We start from the raw sequence: 26,526 nt of genomic DNA, 5'->3' as shown, positions 1-26,526 counted from the left end.
GCAAGTGAGAGAACTGAAGCCCAGAGTGCTTGCATAACTCACTGATGCTCAGACAACTTATACAGTTTAACCCAAATCTTTTGATTAGTGTCCAAGGTAGTTTTGACTTTATCATCCTTTCTCACCCACATCACATTCTGTTGAAATAAGGCAGAGAATAATGCTAACAAATCAAATAAGTAATATGAAAACATAGAACTTTTAAAAGAAGTTTATCTATGTATTCTTTGCTTGTAAAATATATTTTGTTCCTGAAATATAAGATGCCTTCTCCCAGGAAAACTGGCAAGTCCAGTAGGCTGTTTGTTTATTGATTATTAACCATGTGCTGGACAGCACCCAAGGTAATTTAAGGGTGAACCCCAAAATGGACAAGGCACTCTTCCTTCCTTGGTAGAGCTTAGACTCAAACTGGAGATAATAATAATATCAACAATAAAATCAACACTTGGAAAGTAATGTAAGGTTGGGAGAAGATAGCTGTGTCAGAGGAGATATTTGGTAAGAACCAAAATTGCTGTGGTTTTGCCATCTAGAACTCAGGTAAATGGAGGAAACTAAATATTAAAAACTGGAAAAACAAAATCCGCAAAGAAATAAATTGGAAACTGCAGTCATAGTATGAGAAGGATTCAAACAACCTGGAGGAAATATAGGTCCACTTTGCTTTGGGGAGGAGAGTAGATGAATTCTTGGCTAAGTCTTCCTGGTTTTAGAACTTTGTTCATTGCCACTCTTTCCACTCAGAAACAATGTTTGAAAAACTGCTTTTTTGATGTTATAATTTGCCTTTATTTATCACTTTGACTTTGCTACTTATTTCTGCGCTCAAAAATACCTTTTCATAGCCTTAACTTGGAAACTGCATTTATTCATATGCTATAAGCTAGAAACGATGGGATGGGGAGAGATACTGGAATGAAATGATGAATAAAATGAAGGTGATCCAAACTTTTTACAGTCTATGGGAAGGCATGGAACTGATTACAATAAAGTGTGACAATATCTATGTATAATAAAGGCAGCACAGGATGGCATGGCAACACATGGTATGGGCACCTAGTCCAAGATGAGATATCCAGAAAAGATTCTCAGAGAAAGGGGAAGTTGTTTGATACATAAAATATGGGTATGAGGCAGCTAAAACAAGAGAGCTAACATGGAGGCTTAGGGCAAAAGCTTTCAGGCAGAGAGATTAGCAGGCGTAAGGCCCCAGAGCAAAGAGGGAACAATAGAAGTTCTAACTATAGTCATGCTTTGCTTAACAGTAGGGATACCTTCCAAAAAAATGAGTCGCTAGATTATTTCATCATTGTGCAAACATCATAGTGTGTACTTACACAAACCAAGATGGTATAGCCTGCTACATACCTAGGCTATATGGTACAGCCTATTGCTACACACACCTAGATGGTATAGCCTGCTACATACCTAGGCTATATGGTACAGCCTATTGCTACACACACCTAGATGGTATAGCCTGCTACATACCTAGGCTATATGGTACAGCCTATTGCTCCTAGGCTACTGACCTGTACAGTATGTTATTATACTGAATACTACAGGCAATTGTAATACACTGGTATTTGTATATCTAGACATACCTAAACACAGAAAAAAATGCAGTAAAAATACACTATAAAAGACAATTAAAAAAAAAAGGTGCACCTGTGTAGGGCACTTACCATAAATGGAGATGGCAGGATTGGAAATTGCTCTGTGTGAGTCAGAGTGTGAGTGATGAGTGAATGTGAAGGCCTAGGACATTACTGTAGACTTTATAAACACTGTACACTTAGGCCAAATTTATTTTTAAAATTTCTTTCTTCAGTACTAAATTAACTTTAGCTTACTATAACTTTTTCACTTTGCAAACATTTTAATTTTTTAACTCTGACTCTTTTGTTATAATACTTAGCTTAAAACACAAACACATTGCAAAGCTCTCCAAAAATACTTTCTTCCTTTATATTCTTATTCTATAAGGTTTTTCCTATTTATAAAGCATATTTTTACTTTTTAAACATTTTTATTAAAAACTAAGGCAAAAACACACACATTAGCCCAGGTCTATATAAGGTCAAGATCATCAATATCACTATCTTTCACCTCCACATCTTTTCCCACTGAAAGATTTTCAGAGGTAGTAACACGCATGGAGTGTTACTTCTTTTGGAATACCTCCTAAAGGAATTGCTGAAGGCAGCTTTACATTTAACGTTGTTGTTTTTTTTTTTGTAAATAGAAGAAGTACACTCTAAAATTACAATAAAAAGTATAAGCCAGTAACATAGTTGTTTATGTACATTACCAATTATTAGGTGCTGAACCTAATTGTATATGTTAGACTTTTATGCAACTGGCATCACAGTAGGTTTATTCACACCAGCATCACCACAAACATGTTAGTGATGTCTTGTAATATGACATGACAATGACGATGTCATTAGACAATAGGAATTTGTCAACTCCATTATAACATTATGGGACCACCTTCGTATATGTGGGCCATAATTGACCAAAATGTCATTAATGCTACACGTAAGTGTACTGGATAAAGTAAGGGAAGTTGGGTCACATCTGATAAAGGATTAGGCAGGAGGCAATCATGTGGAAGCTTAAAAACTGAGATATAGAATTATTATTTTCTCCATGGGATAAAAGATTAAGTTACTTTGAGTAGGTTCTCAGGTCAGCATTCTTGCTAGGCTTGTACCAATTTTGTTACTAGAACCCATAAAAAGATGGTGTTTCACATGGGACTATGTCCTGTAGAGTTTTAAAAGCCAAGTAATGGATCTTTATCCTGCAGGCAATGAAGGGGAGAGATTCATTAAATATTTGTGAAAAGAAATGTGACATGTTAATGATGTTTTAATGCATATATTCAATAGCAATGCTAAAAAATAATGGCAAGAAGAAAGCAGAGAAAAGTAGAAAAAAAATTATATGATGAAAACAATGTCCATTAAGTGGTATAGCAATTGATACGATGTAAATTGAGTGCAATTTGAGGGCAGTAGCCCCTTAAAGATTGGTAATTGCTATGGTCTGAATGTTTGTTTCCCTCCAGAATTCATGCTGAAACTTAATCCCCATTGTGAAGGTATTAAGAGGTGAGGCCTTTAAGAGGCTATTGGGTCATGAGGTCTCTGCCTTCAGCAATGGGATTAGTACTTTTATAAAAGGTCTTGAGGGCCAGGCGCGGTGGCTCACACCTGTAATCCCAGCACTTTGGGAAGTCGAGGTGGGCGGGTCACAAGGTCAAGAGATTGAGACCATCCTGGCCAACATGGTGAAACCCCATCTCTACTAAAATACAAAAAATTATCAGGGCGTGGTGGCGCATGCCTGTCCTCCCAGCTACTCAGGAAGCTGAGACAGCAGAATTGCTTGAACCTGGGAGGCGGAGGTTTCAGTGAGCCGAGATCGCGCCACTGCACTCCAGCCTGGGCGACAGAGCAAGACTCCGTCTCAAAAAAAAAAAAAAAAAAAGGAAAGAAAAGAAAAGGTCTTGAGGGAGCCTGTTTGGCTCCTTTTTGCCTTTCCACCATGGTAGGACACAGTACTGGTCTCTTCTTCTGTGTGAGAATGCAGTAAGAAAGTGCCATCTTGTAAGCAGAGAGTAGCTCTCACCAGATGTTGAATCTGTTGTTGCCTTGCTCTTGGACTTCCCAGTGTTCAGAACTGTAAGAAATAAATGTCTGTTGTTTATAAATTATCCAGTCTAAGGTTTTCTATTATGATAGCCCAAACTAAGACAATAGTGTACTTATGAAATTCCCTTTCTCTAATTCCAATTAAACCTACAACATAATCATTTTTGACCATTTAAGATAGATTAAGTTTTATAATTTTGCCTTTGTCACATCTGTCTAGCAATTTTGGAGAACAATGTGTACAAAATCCATAATTTGATATTGTATAAAATTAGGCAAATATATAAAGGTGATTGCAATTTTGAAATACATAGATTCTTTACAGAAGATGATTAATTATAATGTATAAGTAGGCAAATTTAAAGAGCACCTGCTAGAATACAAAACCTTATTTCTAGTCAATATTAGCCATTTTAACTAACTTAACTCTGTTCTTCCTTTGGCAAAAGAATGCCTAGTTGCAGCTCCATGAAAAACAGCACAGATTTATTGCCACACATATTTCTTACTCTAACTCTTCCTTGAAACATTAAGATTGCAGGCATCAACATCGGGGGTAAAGGATATTAGCTACTCCAGGTGTGTCAAAAGATGCAAACAGTCCAGATGCTCTATTCTAAGTCCTGTTTTTATTTAAGGCTGCTGGCTTTCACAGGTAAAATTATGGTGGCCTGAGGCTGTTGTATTTTTTTTTTACTCACTTCATAGTCCAATTAAAGAATTTTTTGAGAATTATTTAACTCTTTTTTTTTCTTTTTTTTGAGATGGAGTCTCACTCTGTCACCAGGCTGGAGTACTTTTATACTCCAGCTCACTGCAATCTCAGCTCACTGCAACCTCTGCCTCCCAGGTTCAAGCGATTCTCCTGCCTCAGCCTCCTGAGTAGCTGGGACTACAGGCACGTACCACCACGCCCAGTAAATTTTTGTATTTTTAGTAGAGATGGGGTTTTACCATGTTGGCCAGGATGGTCTTGATCTCTTGACCTCATAATCTGCCTGCCTCAGCCTCTCAAAGTGCTGGGATTACAGGCTATTCAACTCTTTCTTAGTCTTGCCAACTGAACTAACTCCAATAGGTGCCATGTATCAAAAGTTGACACTCTAACTTGATATACTATTTGGATAGAAAATGAGTGGAGAGAGGAAGATACTGGCAACATTGTTGGGAAATGATGTGAGAAGAAAGGGAACCTATGCTGACACTCAAAATTCTTTTTGAGGAAGGGAGGCCGTGACCACTTACATGGTAATTATGTTCTCACTCAGAATCATGTTCATCCTCCAGTCTTCTCCTTCTACCCTCTAAGTCTCACTCCCTCCCTCCCAACTCCTTTCTTTCACCATTCACTCTCTCTAATACCTGCCTGCTGGTTTTCATACATAGCCGCAGCCCCAAATTTGTGACTCAGCATTGCCACTTTCTTGGTGGTGATTCCCACCCACAGCTCTTAGTCATGTTATTCTAAGTTGTTGTTTTCTAGTTGAGTATTGCCCTAGGAATTCTTCTTTATGCAAATGTTTAGATTGTTCATTTAATCAGCATAGCAGTCTGACAACTCTCAGCAGTTTGCAAATTTGAATTCCGAGATTCAAAGTAATTTATAATCCAATGTAGCATGTATCTCGGTGTGTTAAGAAATAATATAACATGGCAAGACCATTTTAAAAGAATCAAATGATAATTTAGGCATAATAATGTAGATATTTCTATGTATTTATTTCTGTTGTCATTGGCATTCCTGACATATATAGTCTTCTTGCAAAGGATCAAAGAATGCAAGAGTACTTTAGCACTTTGGCCTAAAGATTTATTTGACAAAAACATGTGCTTTTAAATTACTGCCATGTTCTCCTCAGATGGGTAGTGTTTGTCTTCTTTGCATTTTGTGTTTAGTGTTTCATTTCAGTATTAAAGTTTCCATGCTTAAATTCATCTCTAGATAAAATCTGTGTGCAGTTGGAGGGGAAACGTTTAAACAATAAGCATTCTAATAGTTTCATGGTCTGATAATCATGTGCAGTTGTTAAGATTGCAGGAGGCAAACTCAAAAATCATTTCCCAAACTCAACAGTCTGGGATATTATTTTGTTTACTTAGCTAATGCTGTTATTGATCAACTTCTCTAAACTCACTGCAAGGTTTTATTTGATATTGGAAAACCTGACCGCTAACCACATGAAGTTAAAATCTGCATTCTTGTTAAAGGGAGGACATATACCCTCAGTGGAGCTAGTTAGAGGAAGGGGAATTGAGCAGGGGGAGATCTTTCCTGAAAGTGAGAGGGCTTAATTTATGCCCAAGAACCACAGAAAGAGCTCCAAAATGGTGGCATGGCTCCAAAACACCACAATAGCTATGTGAAAGATTTCATTATAATTTTTTTGTTGTTGTTGCCGTGAACACTCTATATTTCCCCACATATTTTGTATATGTAGACATTTCATGGAATGGCTTTGGCAGACAGCCACATCAAGAGATTGAGCTCCACATTGAGGGTGAGCACAAAGCTTAAGAAGGAGATTACACCAACAGATGGGCACTATAATGCTGTCTAAGCTTGGCTGGAGGGGAGACACCAGGCCAGACATTCTTAGGAAACTGCAAAACCCTGGAATTTTTGGAAATTACAAGACCTTGAAATGTTCCCAAAGTCTTAGAAAAGACATGAGGCATCTCATAGAATGGAGGGCAGGGAGTGGGTAAACTGGTCTTGCTGTTTTTTATTATCATTACGTATGATGACCTCTGTTAGTATTCAAGTTATATATCATTTTTGTGTTTATTCCCAATGATGTTTTAGAACAAAAAAATGTAAAGACTGTCACTTCATGAGTTTTCTCCTTTATGTTTATTTTTCTGTTCATGTTTACTCGAATCTATCTATGATTGTTTAAAAATGTGTCAGTGCTATTTGTTTGAATAGTTCTTCTGGATATTCAAAACTCTTCAATCATTCCATTATTCTTATTTATTTTTTTTTCTGCTCCCCTGCTCCTTCTTTCCACACTATTTGTATTATCCAAAGCATATAGCTTGGCAGTGTTCTTTCCTGAAGTCCCAGTTGACAATAAGTACATACAATTAGCCACTTATTTGCTGATTTAATTCTACTCACTGGAATTAAAGTTTGTAAATTTGCTTTATGTTCAAAATTTTTAAAAAACTTTTTAAGTTATTTTATATTGTGAGAAGTTATTAGATAACTTTAAACCTGCATATTATAAAATAGCTTAACCATCATAGGCAGTATTTCCAGGGTACAGGCAGGGTTCCATTAAACTTGTGAACCTAGACAACCTTTAAAAAAATAGATCACACCTTCCCAAAGTGAACCTGATACTGACTTTGACATCAAGTGGACCATAGAAACACAGACTGATGGAGCTAGCAGGAAACTAAGAGATCATGTAATCCAATTTTTTAGATAAAGATATTGAGTGGTTACTTGTCTCAAGCTACACAGTTAATTAATGAAACAGTTTAGGCCGGAAACTGTGTTATCTGACTTGCAACAAAGGAGGTGAACAGGGTTTAGTAGAATCACTGGGGTTCTTTGGAAGAACTTTATCCATTTTCCTTCTTATTATGATCCTATGATATAAGTGATATTAACCAACAGGCATTAGGTGGGCACTTACAGTTCAAGTTCCAATAAAAGCACTCTGGTAAATTTTTTAAATTATACCAAAAGAGTTCCCAAAATGAATATGTTATTTAAACTTGCTTACAACTTCCCATGATTGTTACTTTAAAAGAGAGACTATTACCTTTTGGAAACATTAATTATTGTATATTTAATAAAATTAGTCACATAAACCTACAGTAATAGCTCATGAGATAGCATACACTGAAACCATATCCTTAGATCATCTTGTTAAATGGGCCCTCCAAGTGAAGGAAAATGTTACTTGCATCTTAAGCAGTGCTGTGGCATGTCATTTTGGAGCAAATTGTTCATCTACAAGATGATAGCCTATAAGATGCCAATGCAAAGTCAAGTAAACACTTGTTAACTCCCAAGTTAGTGGGTCTTGTTCCACACAACAGTTTCTGACACAGAGCCCTAGAATGAGAAGAATCTGAGAATGCAGTATGCAAGGATATCATTCATGGAACTGACCATATTGCATCCTTGGAAGGCCTTCATTGATGCGTTCAGATTATGCAAAAGAAGAAAATAAGTTATACACACACACACACACACACACACACACACACACACACACGGAAATTTGTTTGAATAGACAATTTACCTAAGACCAAAAAGCAGAAAGATCCAATCCTTCCATAGTACTATATAATTTTATTTGTCCTGGTTACTATTTTTCCCACTGTCAGATTCGTTGATCTGTATCATGGGTTCCCTTTGCCTCAGTCCTTTGCTTGTTTTGACGCTATCTACGGTGCTTACCTCCAACCTTGAAATCAATTTTTCTGGACTAATCGAGCCTACAGTTTCATAATGATGTGGAGTCTCTTGTATAAACCAGGTACTTCTCTGCTCTCTTGCCACTATCTCTGTACAGACCTAAAGTTAAATGAGGCAATCCTCTCTTCCATTCTCCTCCACTGTGCTGTCCTATGTCTTACTCTCCCAAGACTCTTTCTGAACCCAGTTTCTCTGTCATAGCTCCTGATTAAGTACATAACCAAACAGAAGTTACTGTCATGAGAAGAAGTGTTTGGTACAGTGAAAGGATATTGAGCCGGGTGTTAGAAAGTCTGGTTTCCCATATGGGTCTAATGCTGAGCCATGTGACCTTTACCAAGTCATGTGAAATCTTAGAAATGTTTTCGCATTTACAAAAATTAAGATAATGTCATATTCTTTATATTACCCTCAGAAGATGATCACAAGATTTACATGAGGTAATAATGTGAAATATCCATGGAAAATAATTGTAAGAATCCATATTTGCAAGGTATTTCATGTTGTAGTCAAAATAGTCAATAATTATTATGCTCTTTCTTGGAGTTTTCTTAATTCTATCAGATGGAAGATGAAGTTTTAATATAATCTCAGAGCAAACTATTTATTCACCTGGTAAATAAATGAATACTAAAATAAAGACGTTGCCCTGAGAACTTAAAAGTTTAGAGTTAAACTTAGAAGTTAGACATGTTGGGACTAGGAAACATAATAATTAGAAAGTAAGAGAAAATCAGGTATTATACACTGCTTTCTCTTCTTTTCTAGGAAAACGGCATTTCATCTCTTAGGAAAATAGCCACTGTGTAGGTGTGAAGAGAAGCAGTCTTTCAGACTGAAAAAAAAATGAACAAATATGAAATTGAAAGAAAGGTAAAAAAAAATCTCATAGCATTAAGAAGAAACACAGGAAGGGAAGCAGAAGATAAAAAGGAAGGAAAGAGGGAAAGAGGAAGGAAGGAGGGGAGGGAAGAAGAAAGGGAAATGAAAGGGTAAGTGGGACAAAAGAAGAAGAGAAGGAAGAAAAGCAAGAAAGGATGAAGGAAAAAGGAGAAAATGAGGGAAGGAGGAAAACATAAGCTATGCATTAATAAATTGAGTCACTGGAGTCACTCAACTTTTCTAGACTTGATTTCTTTAACAAATAAAAGGACTTGGACTAGAAGATAGCTAAGATCTTTTCAAAAATTGGAGGAAGTTCTTCCCTTTTAATTCTCTTTTTCAACTCCATGGAGCCATGAGCTACTCACTTTGTGAAATCAAAAGCTAGAAAAACACTATTATGAAACCTCACTCTGCAATATATTTTGTGGCAATGAAAAGAAAAAGACAGTCAAGGATACTTCTGCTATACAGGAGGGTTATATAGAAAACACTTTTTGAACTTATTAAAAATTATCAAGTCTTTCTACACAAGGCTAATGTGTTGAATGTGGCTGTTGAAGCTGTCTGTTAACCATTAAACTAAATAGAACACCATTTCATGCCTGACTTCCTTCAGCTATATGAAGATTGCTGTGGCATGTTAGAAGAGGTAGTGAGAACTCAAGGAAATAAAAAGTTCCTCTTTGTGATTGTTGACAGTCTCCTCTGATTTAAAATTCTTTTAAAAAGAGTACCGATTCCTGACTCCTGGAAGCAGCACATTTTCACAGATGACATTGTCTACTTGGGTGATAGCACAATTGTTTGTCTTCCTCACAATAAAAAGGATGGAAATAAAATGAACTGGTAACACAGAGCTTCACAGATATTATTATCTGTGATAATACACTGGTCTTGGGAAGCAGGCAGTTTAATGAACAACTCTTTTGATTTCACAAGGCCAGTTTGACCCAAAAGAAAACTGAAAATCAGGTAGGACAAAAATTCCCTCTGTCACTCCAAGGCTTCAGTTTTAATCTCTCTTTCCTCAACTTTTCTTCCCCTTTACTCCTTTTGTTTCTTAGAAGCCAATAATATCTTATCCTGGTTTCTTCTGTCTTACTCTGATTTCTTTTATCATGAAGTTTATAACTCATTAAGACTGAAGTGTTAAGAACATACTTTGTGGTCTCTCCTGAGATTATCTGATTGCTAAACAGAATACCAGCAAAAAGCAATGGGGTAAACGCAACATGACATAATAAATGTACATAGGACTAGAATCAAGGAGTTCTGCCTTAGCTTTGTGGACAAGCAGCTGTATGGCCCTGGGCAATTCACTCCTCTAGGCCTTAGTTATTTCAAATGAAATATGATCTAGAATACTTTATAATTCAGAAATCAATCCTTTAAGGCAGAGTTTCAGGACTCAATGGAGGAAAACATGGGAACATTTGGAAAAACTTGAGCAAGTCTCATTTCATTTCTACTATCATGACACAGGCCTTTATATTCTCTCACAGATGAGGCAGGTTGAGTAGAAGCAAATATAAGCATTATCACTTACTTGCAAATATAAGATAATCCTTTTTATAACATCAACCTAAAGGTGACCCATGACTTAGCAACATCACTACGTGGTTGATGCATGGGCCACCTTTATCTCCCTCAGGAACAGCTGGTATCACTGGCTGAAAATAGTACAAGTGTCCACTCTTCTTTCATTTTCTCTTGGCAGTGCTAGTAAATCACTTTAAGCATGATTCCTGCTGAGCTTACCTGCACCTGACAAAGTAATGGGACAATATAATACAGTGAGTCCATTGTGGGTGTCCTACAAATTAAACAAAATATAAGTTGATTTTGCAAGTCCATTTAAATAAGGCCAATGAACTCCTCTTTATCTCTTGAGAGAGGTTAATCTTAGGATAAATGGCTGGCAGGAGTAAGAGAGCATTCCCAGGGTGTATCTCAGGAGACAATGAACTGTGGACTAGCAATTAGAATAGTCAGGGTACACAGTTTTCTGTGCACAGCGACACAGAAAAAGATATTTTCCACTGCCAATGGGAATTTAATCCCAAGACTATGTCTGATATTTGGGAAGACATAGGGGATTTTTATATTTGAAACTCGTTAATATTTAGTGACTTTTAGATGCAGATCTGACAACTAGTGCCCATGAGCAGGGCTGATACTGTTGGTTGTACAATGTATGCACTGTACACAGGCACTCAGTCCTGTGTCAAGGAGGAAGCAGATGAGACTTTAAATCTAGTCAATACTGTACTCACCAAGTTCTGCATCTTGGTATAAGGTTGTATCTGCCCTGGTGATGGAGGATCATGTACCTCTCTAATTGTACAAAGATGCCATATAAGTTAACAGGAGCCCTGCCCCTCAGAATCACTTGGGAAGCTTGTTTGTCAGGTAGACTGGTTTATTCTGTGTGTATCTTAGACACCTACAGGAGTCCTCTGCTTATCCATGGTTTTTCTTCCCACGGTTTCAGTTACCTGTGGTAAACTGCAGCTTATAAATATTAATGAAAAATTCCAGAAATAAACACTTTCTAAGTCTTGAATTGTGAATCATTTTGAGTAGTGTGATGAAATCTCACAAAGTCCTTCTCCTTTCCACTCCATCCCGCCTGAGATGAGAATCGTCTGTGTCCAGCATATCCATGCTGTCTATTCTATCTGCCCGTTAGTCACTTAGTAGCTGTCTCATTTATCAGATTAACACTGTAGGTATCTCAGTGTTTGTATTTAAGTAACCCTTATTTTACTTAATAATGTCCCCAAAGCACAAGAGTAGTGATGCTAGCAATTCAGATATGCCAAAGAGAAGTTGCTAAGTGCTTTCTTTACATGAAAAAGTGAATGTCCTCAACTTAATAAGGAAAGAAAAAACATCAAATGCTGATGTTGCTAAGATCCACATAAGAACAAATCTTCTACTATCCATGAAACTGTGAAGAAGGAAAAAGAAGTTAATGCATAGTACATATTGTCTCAGTCCTATTCATAGTTTCATGCATCCACTGAGGGTCTTGGAATGTACTCCCTGTGGACAAGGCAAGACCTTGTCCACAGGGAGTACCCTTGTTTAGACCTACTGAGTTAGACTCTTCAGAAATGTCGTCCATGTGATTATTGTTTGAAGAGCTATGCAAATTACTCCAAGAGGCAGCCAATTTTGTCAACTACTTACTCACAGCATCAACCGATACATTTTCTCAACACTGCTATTTCCCTAACACATAGTCATACAGGTAAGTAATATCTCTCAATCTCTATCTGTATCCCTATTATCTCTATATCCATCTACCTTCTACTTCCAGGAGCCCAGGACATTACTATCTGCCAAGAACCAAAGATACAAAATTAGGTTACTCTAGAAAATATGCTCCTCTGATGAGAATAATAAAAGTATCAGGATTGTTTTTCTCTTTGCAGCTCTTCTGCCTTCTCCTCATCCTTCTTTCAGAGTGGTGCAATGCTATTAGATTTGCATTCTTTTTGAGAGGCACATCGTACCATAAAGAGCTTAGTATGAGAGAAGAACCTAGGGAAAAACCATTATGGCTGTACGCTCTATTCTGTCTCTCATCCTGACTTTGAAGAAACAAGTAGAAGAAGTTCCTGAAGTTTTAGCTCTTTAAAGGGATCCTCAAAACAAGAGAGTCCAGAAGGAATGCAGAACATTGCTGGAATGCAAAACTGTGCATCTACATGTAGCAAGTCCTCAGGAAACCAATTATGCCAACAGGAGAGTATATTGAACAGATCTGATTGAATCTGCAAAATGAAAGTCTAATGATCTTGTAAATCCTTGCTGAATACACTTCTTGCTTCCAAATACTCACTAGCACAATTCCCCATGTCAAAAGCTTCCTACTGATCAGTGTAGAGTTAAATAAATCATCGTAGATCTTTGTGCTTTTCAAAATTTCCAGACACAAGTGGTCACACTACTAAAATACTTATATACTTTTTTAAGTATCAAATAACTTGACATGACTCATTTCATTGTTCTCTTTGGCTTCATCTATCATGTCCATATAGAGGATTCCCAAGCATTTCATCTTAGACATACCTCTGTCATGGATTACAGTCTTATATGTCTTCTTACAGAAGAAGTGGACATTCTCATCTATGTGTCTTTAACTCAGCATATCTAAAAGCTGAATTCATCATCGTCACTCTCAAAATATTTCCAAGTTTATATTCTCTAGCTGTGAGACAATATGTTTTCTTGTTACTCCTCCCAGAATCCCAGTTAAATTTTACTGTTTTTTCTCTTTATCCTTTCTACATCTAATGAGGATTCAAGACATGTCCTCTACAATGGTATTTCCTAAATCCATTTCTTTACTTCAATTCTCAGTACAAGTGCCTCTATCCAATTTTTGCTAACTTCAAGCTCAGACTTCGATAACTATGCCTAATACATTTTCTTGCTTTCAGACTCTCAATGATCTAATGTATTTTATACAGCAATAGGTAATTAGTATTATTAAAGCAGACCCTTCTACTGTAAGAAACAACAACAACAATTTTTGGAAACTTTTGAAGTTCTCTATGAAGTTCATTCCAGAAGAGTTGGAACTACCTTTCTAACTTTACCCTACACAAAATTTTTCACATTACTTAAAATTTTCCAAACATGAGTAACATTTTTCTACCACTACACTCTTCCACTGCTTTCACTCATTGACCTGCCCTTTCTGTGTCTGTCTTCTCTATTGAAGTCCCTTTTATCTTTTAATACCAAACTTCATCCTTTCTCCACTGTACTTTTCTTAATCATCTCAACCAGAATGGGCCTTCTCTGGCCTCTGCACTTAGTTCTTATCTTACCAATTGCATGTATGCATTGCTTTGAAATGCAGATATTTATGTATATCACATCTTTCTTACAGGGTTTTTCAGATCAGCATAAATGGAATTTCCCAAAAAGTAGAACAGACTAGAAATAGAACTGGCCCCTAAAGAAGGAAAGGAGTTACAGATCACTGGAGTTATTCACAAACAGAAGCAGAGGCTATAAGTGCTTATGATAGAAATGTTCATGAGGCCATTTAAGAATCATGTAAAAGTGACACTAGATTATCTACAATAAAATACATTATACATTGATGTTAAAGTTATATTTTGCTGACTATAAGAAGTAAAAAGAGTTCTTGTATTTTAAAATGTATACTGAATGTCAATTACACATAAGAGATTATACTAGGCATTTTAGGTGAGTAGTTAAAAACATAGATCTTTTCATTTGCTTTTCCTTTTGTAGAAAAGGCAAGACTCCAATAATATGGTAGAGTAGAGAGTTGCATTGATCCTGCCACTGACACAGTAAAAATCCTGGATTATAACTACAAATACAAATACATACACAGTTTCTAAAATTCATCCAAGATGTCACAAAAGTGTAAGATACTCTTATGCAAAAAGAAAAGAGTAAAATAAGAACTCAAAGAATTAAAAAGAGAACTTGAAGTCGGCTTTTACCATTTGCCAATTTGCTGAACTTTAGATCCTATAGATGGATCTTATAGACTGAACAGAAAACAACAAGTCCAGAATCTACCCTAGTTTAGAATCTAAAAGGAGGTGCCCACACAACTACATCCACACTGTAAGTTGGCATGGTAACCAAACCCTTTTCCCATCCACCTTGAGGGTAAACACTTATCAGCACTGATGAAGAGCAGAATGGAGAAAATACTCACTGAAACCAGGATGTGCAAATCAGCCCTTACATAGATTTATATCCCAAATTCATACCATTCATGAATCATAAATACCTCAGGCAAAAACTTAACTCTGAGTAGCACTAGACTGGTAGTGCCTTCAGATATCCAATAAAAGCAAAAGCAAATCTTCTTTGGAAGAAACAATCTTCATCTAAGGCCTCAAATAATTTCCTCCAAGAAATATTTAAAAGACAAAAGTTCATTTTTTTTTTTTTTTGAGATGGAGCCTCGCTCTGTTGCCCAGGCTGGAGTGCAGTGGCACGGTCTTGGCCCACTGTAAGCTCCGCCTCCCGGGTTCACACCATTCTTCTGCCTCAGCCTCCCGAGTAGCTGAGACTACAGGCACCCACCACCACGCCCGGCTAATTTTTTGCATTTTTTGTATTTTTAGTAGAGACGGGGTTTCCCCGTGTTAGCCAGGATGGTCTCGATCTCCTGACCTCGTGATCTGCCCGTCTCGGCCTCCCAAAGTGCTGGGATTACAGGCGTGAGCCACTGCACCCGGCCAAAAATACATTTTTTAAATATACAAGATACCATGAGCAAGAACCAGCAGAAATGAACAGAGGGTTTTAAAAGAACTGTAAAGATTTCAGATCTAGAAATAACTAGAATGAGTTTACAGAATAACTATTTACTTTTACAGTAACTTTGATATCTAATGTAAGACTATGGTAGAATGAAGATTATGGTGAATTACCACCCCTAAAAGCAATAGTCAAATTGGTCCAAATGGTCAAAACAACCATTTTGCTGCTCTGGCAATTTATCAAAGAAAAACAACAAAACCTGAGCATTGGCTAGTCATGAGAAGTTGCTAGAACTTTGAGTAGGAGCTGCAGAGTCTACAATTCTTTTGCATGGAGCTGCTGCCATCCACCCTCTACCACCTCCTGCAACAAAAACAGTAGAGTTACCAGCGTGGGCTGGCCAGGAAAACTAGGGCTGTGTCTTCCAGCAAGGGTAGGCCCAATTTTAAATGGAGGGTGAACATGCACAGTAGTGTTGTCAGTGAAAGTAACAAACTTGCTACCAAACAAATGAGAAAAACCTACAGTTCTGCGAGCCAAAGTTTATGATGCTGATGGGGGTGGGCAGTGGGCCATCATATATTTAATGGGGTGATCCTGTGAGAGCCACAGAAGAGATGAGATAAGCTCTTCACACATTCCTGGTTGACTAGGTTTGTCCAGTTAGCAAAGTGCGTATATATCAGGCAAAGAAATAAAAAGAATGATCTACACCGCTCAGGGAAAAATCAGCCATTATAAATTTAACTGCAAGGGGACACAAATAATGAATTTAGCAGGCAAAGATTTTAAGCAATTATCATAAATTTAGTAAAAGAATTAAAGAAAACTATATTGAGTGAATTAAAGGAAAGATGTGATAACAACAACTTAAGTAACAGGAAGTTTCAATAAAGAAATAGAAGCATACAAAACCAAATGTACATTCTAAAGTCAAAATAAAATATAACCAAAAGCAAAATAACTAGGCAGTAGGTAAAGTAAAAAATAACTGCTTAATTTTAAGACAAAATAAAATGCAAGCTTGAATATGTGCAGAGAACAAACATCCTTGAAGAAAAACACAGAAGATTTTTTTTATTTTATTTATTTTTTTTATTATACTTTAAGTTTTAGGGTACATGTGCACATTGTGCAGGTTAGTTACATATGTATACATAGTGGGTGCAGCGCACCAGCATGGCACATGTAAACACAGAAGATTTTGCAGCAGCAAATAGAAATTGCAGAAATTAAAAAATACATTATTTGAAACTTAAAACATTAGTGTGCAAAACAGAAGAGAAAATTATCAAAGTGGAGCGGGGATCTGAGAAATTATCAGGAATAAAGTAAAAGGAGGCAGAATGATGGAAAATATAAAAGGACTCTAAGATACACAGAGGCTAAAGAGAAAAATATCTATGTTTATTCCAGAGAAGAAAAGAAAAAGTGGCAGAGACAATATTTTAATAAAAATGGCTGAGAATTCTCCAGAATCGAAGAAAGACATCTATATGTGTGTGTATGTGTACCTATATGTGTTTGTGTGTGTGTGTATCTATATATATCTTTAACAAATCTAATGAATACTAAACAATATAAACATAATAGAATAAAAACACAAAACTCCAATGATAAAGAGAAAAAACAGCTAGGGAGAAAGAGAGAAAGAGAAATTATCTTCCAGGAAATAACACATTGACAGCTGACATCTCATTGGCAAAACTAAAAGTTAAACACAGTGGAATAATATCTTCAATATGCCCAGAGAAAAAAGGAATGTCAACCAAAAGTTCTATGCCGAGTAAAAATATCTTATCATAGCAATATGAAGATATTTTCTGAAACATGTAAGCTGAATTTACATCAACAGATCCTGACTAAAGATAAATAAATAAATAGTAAATAGTATATAATGAGCAAAGTGATAACAGATGGACAATCAAATCTGAGATGAAAAAAATGATGGACACTAATGTGATAAATTTGTTAGTGAATTTAAACAAACATTAACTGCTTAACATAGTCATGTTTGATGATATTGGCTTATAAAATGCACAAAGTCTCATGCCTGTAATCCCAGCACTTTGGGGGGCTGAGTCGGCCAGATCACCTGAGGTCAGGAGTTTGAGACCAGCCTGGCCAAAATGGTGAAACCCCGTATCCGCTAAAAATACAAAAATTAGCTGGGTGTGCTGGTGCATGCCTGTAATCCTAGCTACTTGGGAGGCTGAGGTAGAAGAACTGCTTGAATCCAGGAGGTGGAGGTTGCAGTGAGCTGAGATTATGCCACTGCACTTCAGCCTGGGAGACAGAGTGAGATTCCATCTCAGAAAAAGAAAAAAAAAGTACAAAATCACTAGAGGATAAGTCAGGAGATGGCTAAAAGTAGTTTATATGTTTTTAAGTCCTCTATTATTTAGAAGGATGCTAATGATACTGAACAATTTTAGACTTTTCCTAAGTAAAGTATGTTTCAATTTCTAGGGTAACTACTAAATAAATCAATACAATACTTCCCAGCTGCTAGCAGCAAACATGAAAGGAAAAAATTAATCTCAACAATTCCAAAAAGCAGAAAGGAAGGAAAACGTGGCACAAAATATTTTGGCAATGGGAAGCTTGAAATAAGATGCTTGATCCAAATTCCAATATATCAAATATTATATTCCAATTAAAGTAATAAACAGTTAATTCAAAAAAATCAACCAAACTGAAAAGAATCCAACCACCTATGATTTGTAATAAGTTTAAAACTTAACGAAATAGGCCAGGCGCAGTGGCTGGGTAAACAGATAGGAATGTTTTTCCTATCACTATATACTTTTAAGCAAAAGCATTACTAGATATAGGTAGTTCATAATATTAATAACAATAAGTTAAATTCACCCATAAGTACAATAATTTTTTTATTATTATACTTTAAGTTCTGGGGTACATGTGCACAACGTGCAGGTTTGTTACATAGGTATACATGTGCCATGGTGGTTTGCTGCACCCATCAACCCGTCATCTACATTAGGTATTTCTCCCAGTGCTATCCCTCCCCTAGCCCCCCACCTGCTGACAGGCACCATTGTGTGATGTTCCCTTCCCTGTGTCCATGTGTTCTCATTATTCAACTCCCACCTATGAGTGAGAACATGAGGTGTTTGGTTTCCTGTTCTTGTGTTAGTTTGCTGAGAATGATGGCTTCCAGCTTCATCCATGCCCCTACAAAGGACATGAACTCATCCTTTTTATGGCTGCATAGTACTCCATGGTGTATAAGTGCCACATTTGCTTTATACAGTCTATCACTGTTCAGAATTTGGGTTGGTTCCAAGTCTTTGCTATTGTGAACAGTGCCGCATAAACATATGTGTGCATGTGTCTTTACAGTAGAATGATTTATAATCCCTGGGGTATATACCCAGTAATGGGATTGCTGGGTCAAATGGTATTTCTAGTTCTAGATCCTTGAGGGATCACCACACTGTCTTCCACAATGGTTGAACTAATTTACACTCACACCAACACTGTAAAAGCGTTCCTATTTCTCCACATCCTCTCCAGCATCTGTTGTTTTAATGAATGCCATTCTAACTGGTGTGAGGTGGTATCTCAATGTGGTTTTGATTTGTATTTCTCTAAAGACCAGTGATAATGAGCTCTTCTTTCATATTTTTGTTGGCTGCATAAATGTCTTCTTTTGAGTGTCTGTTCATATCCATAGCCCACTTTTTGATGGGTTTTTTTTTCAGAAGTGTCTGTTCATATCCACAGCCCACTTTTTGATTTAATGTTAAATCAACCTTTAATTTTTATGATAACCCAACTTGGTCATAGTTTTCATTCTTCTCATATCTTGTTATATTCAGTTCATTAACAATTTGCTTAGATAGTAGTTATGTTTCTAAGTCATTTTGGGCATATTTTTCATTCACATAATCTCCTTGCCAAGATTTTGTATCAAGCTAATTCTAGACCAGCAGCTCTCATCTGGGACTTATTTTTGCCTCCCAGGTTTTTTTTTTTATATTTGTTTAAGTTATTTGTAGATTCTGGATATTAGCCCTTTGTCAGATGGATAGGTTGCAAACATTTTATCCCATTCTGTAGGTTGCCTGTCCACTCTGATGATAGTTTCTTTGCTGTGCAGAAGCCCTTTAGTTTAATTAGATCACATTTGTCAATTTTGGCTTTTGTTGCCATTGCTTTTGGTGTTTTAGTCATGAAGTATTTGCTCGTGCCTATGTCCTGAATGGTATTGGCTAGGTTTTCTTCTAGGGTTTTTATGGTTTTAGGTCTTACGTTTAAGTCTTTAATTCACCTTGAGTTAATTTTTGTGTAAGGTGTAAGGAAGGATCCAGTTTGAGTTTTCTGCATATGGCTAGCCAGTTTTCCCAACACCATTTATTAAATAGGGAATCCTTTCCCCATTGTTTGTTTTTGTCAGGTTTGTCGAAGATCAGATGGTTGCAGATGTGTGGTGCTATTTCTGAGGCCTCTGTTCTGTTCCAGTGGTCTATATATCTGTTTTGGTACCAGTACCATGCTGTTTTTGTTACTGTGGTCTTGTAGTATAGTTTGAAATCGGGTATCGTGATGTCTCCAGCTTTGTTCTTTTTGCTTAGGATTGTCTTGGCTATGTGCACTCTTTTTTGGTTCCATATGGAATTTAAAGTAGTTTTTTCCACTTCTGTGGAGAAAGTCAATGGTAGCTTGATGGGAATAGCACTGAATCTATAAATTACTTTGAGCAGTATGGCCATTTTCATGATATTGACTCTTCCTATCCATGAGCATGGAATGCTTTTCCATTTGTGCCATCTCATATTTTCTTGAGTAGTGGTTTGTAGTTCTCCTTGAAGAGGTCCTTCACATCCCTTGTCAGTTGTATTCCTAGGTATTTTTTTCTCTTTATAGTAATTGTGAATGGGAGTTCACTCATGTTTTGGCTCTCTGTTTGTCTGTTATTGGTGTATAGGAATGCTTGTGATTTTTGCACATTGATTTTGTATCCTGAGACTTTGCTGAAGTTGCTTATCAGTTTAAGGAGATATAATCTGAAACTTAAAATTTAACTAATAATTCAGTCTCAATATGTATAGAAATAACTGAGATATCTTCAAGAAGAAATTGGCAATTCACAATCACAATGAGAGATAACATGTATTTTATATAAATCACAAAAAAGAGTTAATGATGTAGAAGACTTTAATAGTATAATTAGTATATACTGGAGCTACCGAGATATAGTTGATACTATACACCAGTTACGGAACACATAATATTTTCAAGCTCACTAAAAATGTATAAGTATAAATAGCATGCAACTATAAGAAAAACCAGAGGGAGAGCTATAGCCTTAAAATACTTATAGTAGAAAATATAACGTTTTAACTCTAGTGAACCAAGTATCTATCTTAAGAACTTTTAAAAAACAGAAAAATTAACCTTAAAAGGATAGTAAACAGGAAATAAACATAAGTAAAAAGACAATGAAATGGAAAATAAATATGCAAAAAAAGATCCACAGTTTTTTGAAAAACTGATAAAACAGAGAAACTTTAGTTATATTGACAAGAGAAGCAAACAAACAAAAACATATTAGGGACAAATGAAAAAATATGAAATATAAAAAGCAGACATCACTACAGGTACTGTAGATATTTAAAAGTTCTTAAGCTATAGAATAAACATCTTTAGACAATAAATTTTAAATATTAGATGAAACAAACAAATTATCAGGAAAATATGATTTACTAAAACTTCCCCCAAAAGAAACCTAACCTGTTCTATAACCATTAAAAAACAGAAGGTCAAACATATTTTCACAAAAAAACTCTTACGTATGCCATTCTAACTGGTGTGAGATGGTATCTTTATATGATATAGCCTCTATGTTTTCATTGGTGAGGTCTATAAAACATGTAATTTCAATTTTAGATTATGCAATTTTTATGAAGATAGAACAGTATTTCTCACTATTAACATTTTTGGCCAGATAATGATCTGTTTTGGAATGCTGTCCTGTACAATATAGGATATTTATCACCATTCCTGACTTCTACTCACTAAATGCCAGTAGTACCTTCACCACAAGTTGTGACAATCAAAAGTATCTCTGGGTATTGCCAAGTGATACCTGGGAGGCAAAAATAAGTCCCAGATGAGAGCTGCTGGTCTAGAATTAGCTTGATACAAAATCTTGGCAAGGAGATTATGTGAATGAAAAATATGCCCAAAATGACTTATAAATATAACTACTATCTAAGGCAAATTGTTAATGAACTGAATATAACAAGACATGAGAAGAATGAAAACTATGACCAAGTTGGGTTATCATAACAATTAAAGGTTGATTTAACATTAATTAATTTATGTTAGTTAAAATTAATATGAATTACTGAATACACAATTAAAAATGATTATAAGACCTCTTCAAAAAAATCTGGAGAAATATTTATTAGAGACCAACCTATATTCACAGTGAAAAAAATCTTGGTCAACTATGAAAAGGAGAAAATTTTTTACCCTGATACAGGTATCTAGAAAGGAAGGACAGAGACAGAGAGAGAAAGAAGAAGGAAAACCTCATAAAACAAATGTATTATTATGATTTATGTAGCTGCACTGAAAGCATTTTCTTTGAGGAAAATCCTTTGTGATATGACTTTTATCACAACTTCTATTTAGCCAGTATAACAATGAATTTAAAAAATTAAAATAAAAGGCATAAAGTCTGGAAAGAACAAAGGACAATTATTGGTAATATATTTGTTGTATTAAAAAGCCCAAAAGAGACTGCAAGTAAAATGTTGACATTAATAGGAAAATTTAACAAGCTTGCTGGCACAAAATTATTCCATTATTCCACAAGAAAATAAATTATATAACTATATGTTAAAAACAAATACCTAGAAAAAAAAGAAAAATCTAAAAATTAGCACTTAACAGTAGCATCAAAAATATGAAGTACCTTAAGACAAAACTACCAAACGTGTTGCAAACACTTTATGAAGAAAATTATAAAACCTGATTGAAAAACACTAAATGAGACCTAAAAAAAGGAAAATTCTCTGTTCTTGGATTCTACATTAGGAGATAAAATACTGTAAAGATTTCAGTTCTCTTCCATATTGACCTATAAGTTCACTGTTACTCTAATCTAAATTCCAACAGACTTAACCATGGAATTTGACAAATTGATCCTAAAATATATTTGTAAGGTCAAAGATCAAGAACAGACAAATGTTTTAAAGAGAGAGATTGAGGTTGGGGACTCATTATCTATCACAGCTCATTATAAAGCTATGGTAAATAAGGTTGAAAGAAGTTTCACCATATTGTGACACTGCCATCTGGACTTGTCTCAGAAGGAAAAGAACATGGAGAATTACAAGGTCTTTCAATGCTTCTGTCCAGAAATGAATGCCATTGTCCAAAGAAAAGACTAAGTCACATGGTCACATGCTTTTGCTTAGCTTTAAAGAGGTGAGGAATTGTGATCAGCCTTGTTGTCCCCTGAAAGAAGAGGTGTCCCGGAAATATTGATGGGCGCTAGTAACATCTATCACACCAAATGATGTCTAGTCTATGGATCAATGGGAACTGTCATACACTGCTGGAGAAGGTATAAATTGGTACAACTAATGTGATAAAAGTTTGGCACTATCTAGTTAAATGAAACATGCTCATGCCCTGCAATGCAGCAATCTCACCCATGGTTCTATACTATAGAATACTTCATGTGTACCAGGAGAAATTGCACGTGTGTCTACAGAATCATTGTATACAACAGCAAAAATTTGGTTTGGAAACAACCAAAAATTCATCCACAATATAATAGATAGTAAATTATGTATTCATGCACATAATTTCTATAGAGTAGTGAAAGTAAATGACCTAAGCCACCCAAATTAACGTGGATTAATATAATAAATACAACACTGAGGAAAGAACAATGCCTACAGCATGATTTAATTCCTATTAGGTGCATAAAAAACAGAACTGTTAAAATATGTAAATATACACAGTACATATATATGTATGTATACTTATATAATGATAGGAATATATTTATATTTTAAAATATATACATAAATTTATGTGCGTATATTTGTACATATTTAATAATTCATTTGTAAATATTTTCATTGGTAGAAAAGTTATCCAGAAAAGAAAGAGATTAATTATGACAAAGATCAGGATATCAGTTGTCTCTTGGGTAAAGGTAGGAGGATGTAAATGCTGATGCATGCGGGGGCTTCTGCATACTCTTAGTAATTTTTTTTTCTTACCTGGTTGTTCTTTGAAAGTTGTTTGATTTATTATTAATATTGTTCCTCTGTGTGCATATATGTATGTAAAAAGAAAATTTTAAATATGTGTAGGAAATATGTATTTTTTAATAGAGAAAATAATAATTGAGCAAGAAAAAGCACTAGGCAATATATTACAAATAATACCAAGTGAGAATATAGTCAATCTAAAAATGTCAGAGAAGGGTGAGATGATTATGAGTTGCATTGGGCCATGGTTGTATTCATGAAGGAGCTAGGACTTGGTTGAGGCATTTAAGTAGGATAAAATTCTAATAAGTGGGGGAAAATGGGGAGCTTGTTAAATGGAAGTAACATAAGAAGGAAAAGGCTGAAAGATAATTTGGTAGATAGTGAAAAAGCAACACAGGCTTGAGTGTTTGCTTGTGTAGGGTAGTGGCATTGTCTTGTTTTCTTTTTATCCATCAGTCATTAATTACACTTCTTCTCAGCAAAGTATACATGAGGGTGGTACAAAGTATGTGTCATTGCAAAGGTATGTGGGTTTTCACTTATTCCTTAAGCTAAAAATATAGATGGCAAAAAGTGTAATATTTTCCCTCAAAATATGCAGAAGATAGGCAAAGTAGAATTAGAGTATTAGAACAGGATGAAAGAGAACCTCAGAGTCTTTCTAAAATCTCTGAAATCACATTGTAGCAATGAAAACACCAGAGTGATGGGAAGCATGGGCAGTGCAGGGAGGTGCTGGTGCCTGAGATGTTTGTTACTGATAGGATGAGACAAGCTCAGAGATTGAAACTATTTAGAAAGTTTTATAGCTATTCAATGGAGTAATTTAGAATTTTTTAGCAATCCAATGGAGTAATTTGGTGTCTATTGAATGAAATAATAATAAATTGGGGTTTGAAGTTATATGTCAGTTTTTTATTCATTTTATTTTGTGTATGAATTTCCAGTATTGGTCAGTGATGGGCAGAAAATTTTATAAAAAAGAAAGAGATCCTTCAGCACAGATTATATGAGAAGTGGCAATATTAGTTTATCCAGACATGAGGTCTACCCTGCAAAATACTTTGATGGCTAAAGTAGACCGAGAAAAAAACGAATATAACATTTATGTAGCATTTCTGCTAGTGAATACAGTGATATCACCTTTTAAAAGATGAATTGTTTAATTTATTCTCACACAATATCTTGGAAAAATGGCTTTCCCTTGTCCCCACACCTATATTATGCAATCAACTTTCTTTCTGACTGCTCAAAAGAAGGCAAATGTTATAGATACTATCTGCCATCCCTAAACTCTTAAACTTTCACCATTCCTGTTTTCTCTGAATCTCAGCACATATTAAAGGATTCAGAACAGAGCAAGAGAATTTCTAAGTCATATACTTTTGATTTTGCCATTTCCCTGCTCTCAAATCCTGTTTTTGTCCTCATTATACTGAGAACAATTTTTTTAGTAGCCAAAGTACTTTCACACATCCTCTTCTTTCTATATCTACTGCCACTATCTTATCTGCAAATGTCATTATCGCTAGCTCAACCTTCTAGAATAACCACCAACATTAATTCCAGCCTACAAATCCCTCTATTATTCTTCGTCCCATTATAACTGTCAGATTTATTTTCCTAAAATGGAAATGTAATTCTAGGCTCTTCACAACCCATCAAGGCTACCTACTCACTTGCTATTGATAAAATAAAGTTCCTCACACTTGGCATTTGCCATTCTCCACACTATGATCTCAACTGATCTTTCTAGTGTCATTTACCATCGTTCCTCATCACATAACATATGATACATTAACAAACCAAATGATGTTCTCCAAATACAGCATAATCTGTGAAGCCTTTCCTACAGTCTTCAGAACCATATGCATCTCCCTCTTTAAACTCCCATGTTCTTCTTTTCTTCCACATCACTTTGCTTGCTAGACCACTTACCTTACTTTACATTATGTTAGAGTTATTGGTCATATAGCACACTAGAATATTAATACCTTCCTGGAGGTGTTAAAATCCTCATATTGCCTGTGATGGAGGTTCCATGAATAGGAGTGCCTAATGTGTGGAAAATTGAATTCCTCACTGCATATGAGGTAGACTTAAGCCTGCTCTCACCCATAACCACTTTTCCACTGCTATTGTCCACTCCAACATTTCCAAAATTTGCAGGCCCTTATAGGATTTAGAGCTTGTTTCTCGTGTATTTATTCATGCTGTTTTCTCTGGCTAGATATGCCTTAACTTTCCATTGTTTATACAAATCCCACTTATCCTTCAATAACCTAAGTTCCAACTCTGCTATCTTCCATAGTTTGAGAGTGAGAAGTGATTTCTTTCTCCACAATCATTTCTTACTTCTAGTATGGCAAATTAATATTGAACTAATATATGAAATCACATATATCTCTTCTTCATAGTCACTTTGAACTTGTACTTTCAACATTTATTATTGTTAAAAGTTTGAAGTGCCTATGACTTGTCTGCCATATAACTAATAAGACAGATACAAGTGGCTGGGCACATGGCTGGGCACAGTGGCTCATACCTGTAATCCCAGCACGTTGGGAGGCCAAGGCAGGGAGATCACTGGAGCCCAGGAGTTTTAGGCCAGCCTGGGCAACATGGCGAGACCTCGTCTCTAGAAAAAATACAAAAAGTAGCCAGGTGTGGTAGCGTGTGCTTGTGGTCTCAGCTACTTGGGAGGCTGAGGCGAGACTCAATTAAGCCAGGGAAGTCTAGTCTGTAATGAGCTGGAATCATGCTGCTGCACCCTAGCCTGGGTGAGAGAGCAAGATCTTGTCTCAATTAAAAATAAATAAATAAAAATAAAAAGCAGACATAGGATGTAGTTGCACTGTGGATTCAGGTTACTTGGGTTTAAATCTCAATTATGCTATATATTTGTAGCATGGGAGTTTTGTATCTTCCATGTGTTTCAGCCTTCCCTATGTGTAAAATGGAAATATTAGTTGTACTTAACCTCATACAATTGTTGTGAGGATTAAATGAGGCAATGCAAGTG

The 26,526-nt window shown here is 35.8% G+C and overlaps 1 long non-coding RNA gene across 2 annotated transcripts in view; it reads right to left on the bottom strand.

The window, feature by feature from the left end:
- LINC00907 (long intergenic non-protein coding RNA 907) overlaps positions 1-26,526 on the bottom strand; it is a 504,759-nt gene that overhangs the window by 171,621 nt on the left and 306,612 nt on the right. Inside the window, exon 6 of one of the 2 annotated variants that reach the window (NR_046454.1) lies at positions 3,637-3,687. The exons of the other annotated variant lie outside the window; for it this stretch is intronic. This is a non-coding gene — a long non-coding RNA (long intergenic non-protein coding RNA 907). The remainder of the gene's footprint in view (positions 1-3,636; positions 3,688-26,526) is intronic. 2 annotated transcript variants of the gene reach the window in all.

The sequence above is a fragment of the Homo sapiens genome, chromosome 18, assembly GCF_000001405.40.
Source record: "Homo sapiens chromosome 18, GRCh38.p14 Primary Assembly".
Lineage (NCBI taxonomy): Eukaryota > Metazoa > Chordata > Mammalia > Primates > Hominidae > Homo > Homo sapiens.
Note: the sequence above shows the minus strand (reverse complement) of the source record. Positions and strands in the feature narration are given on the sequence as shown.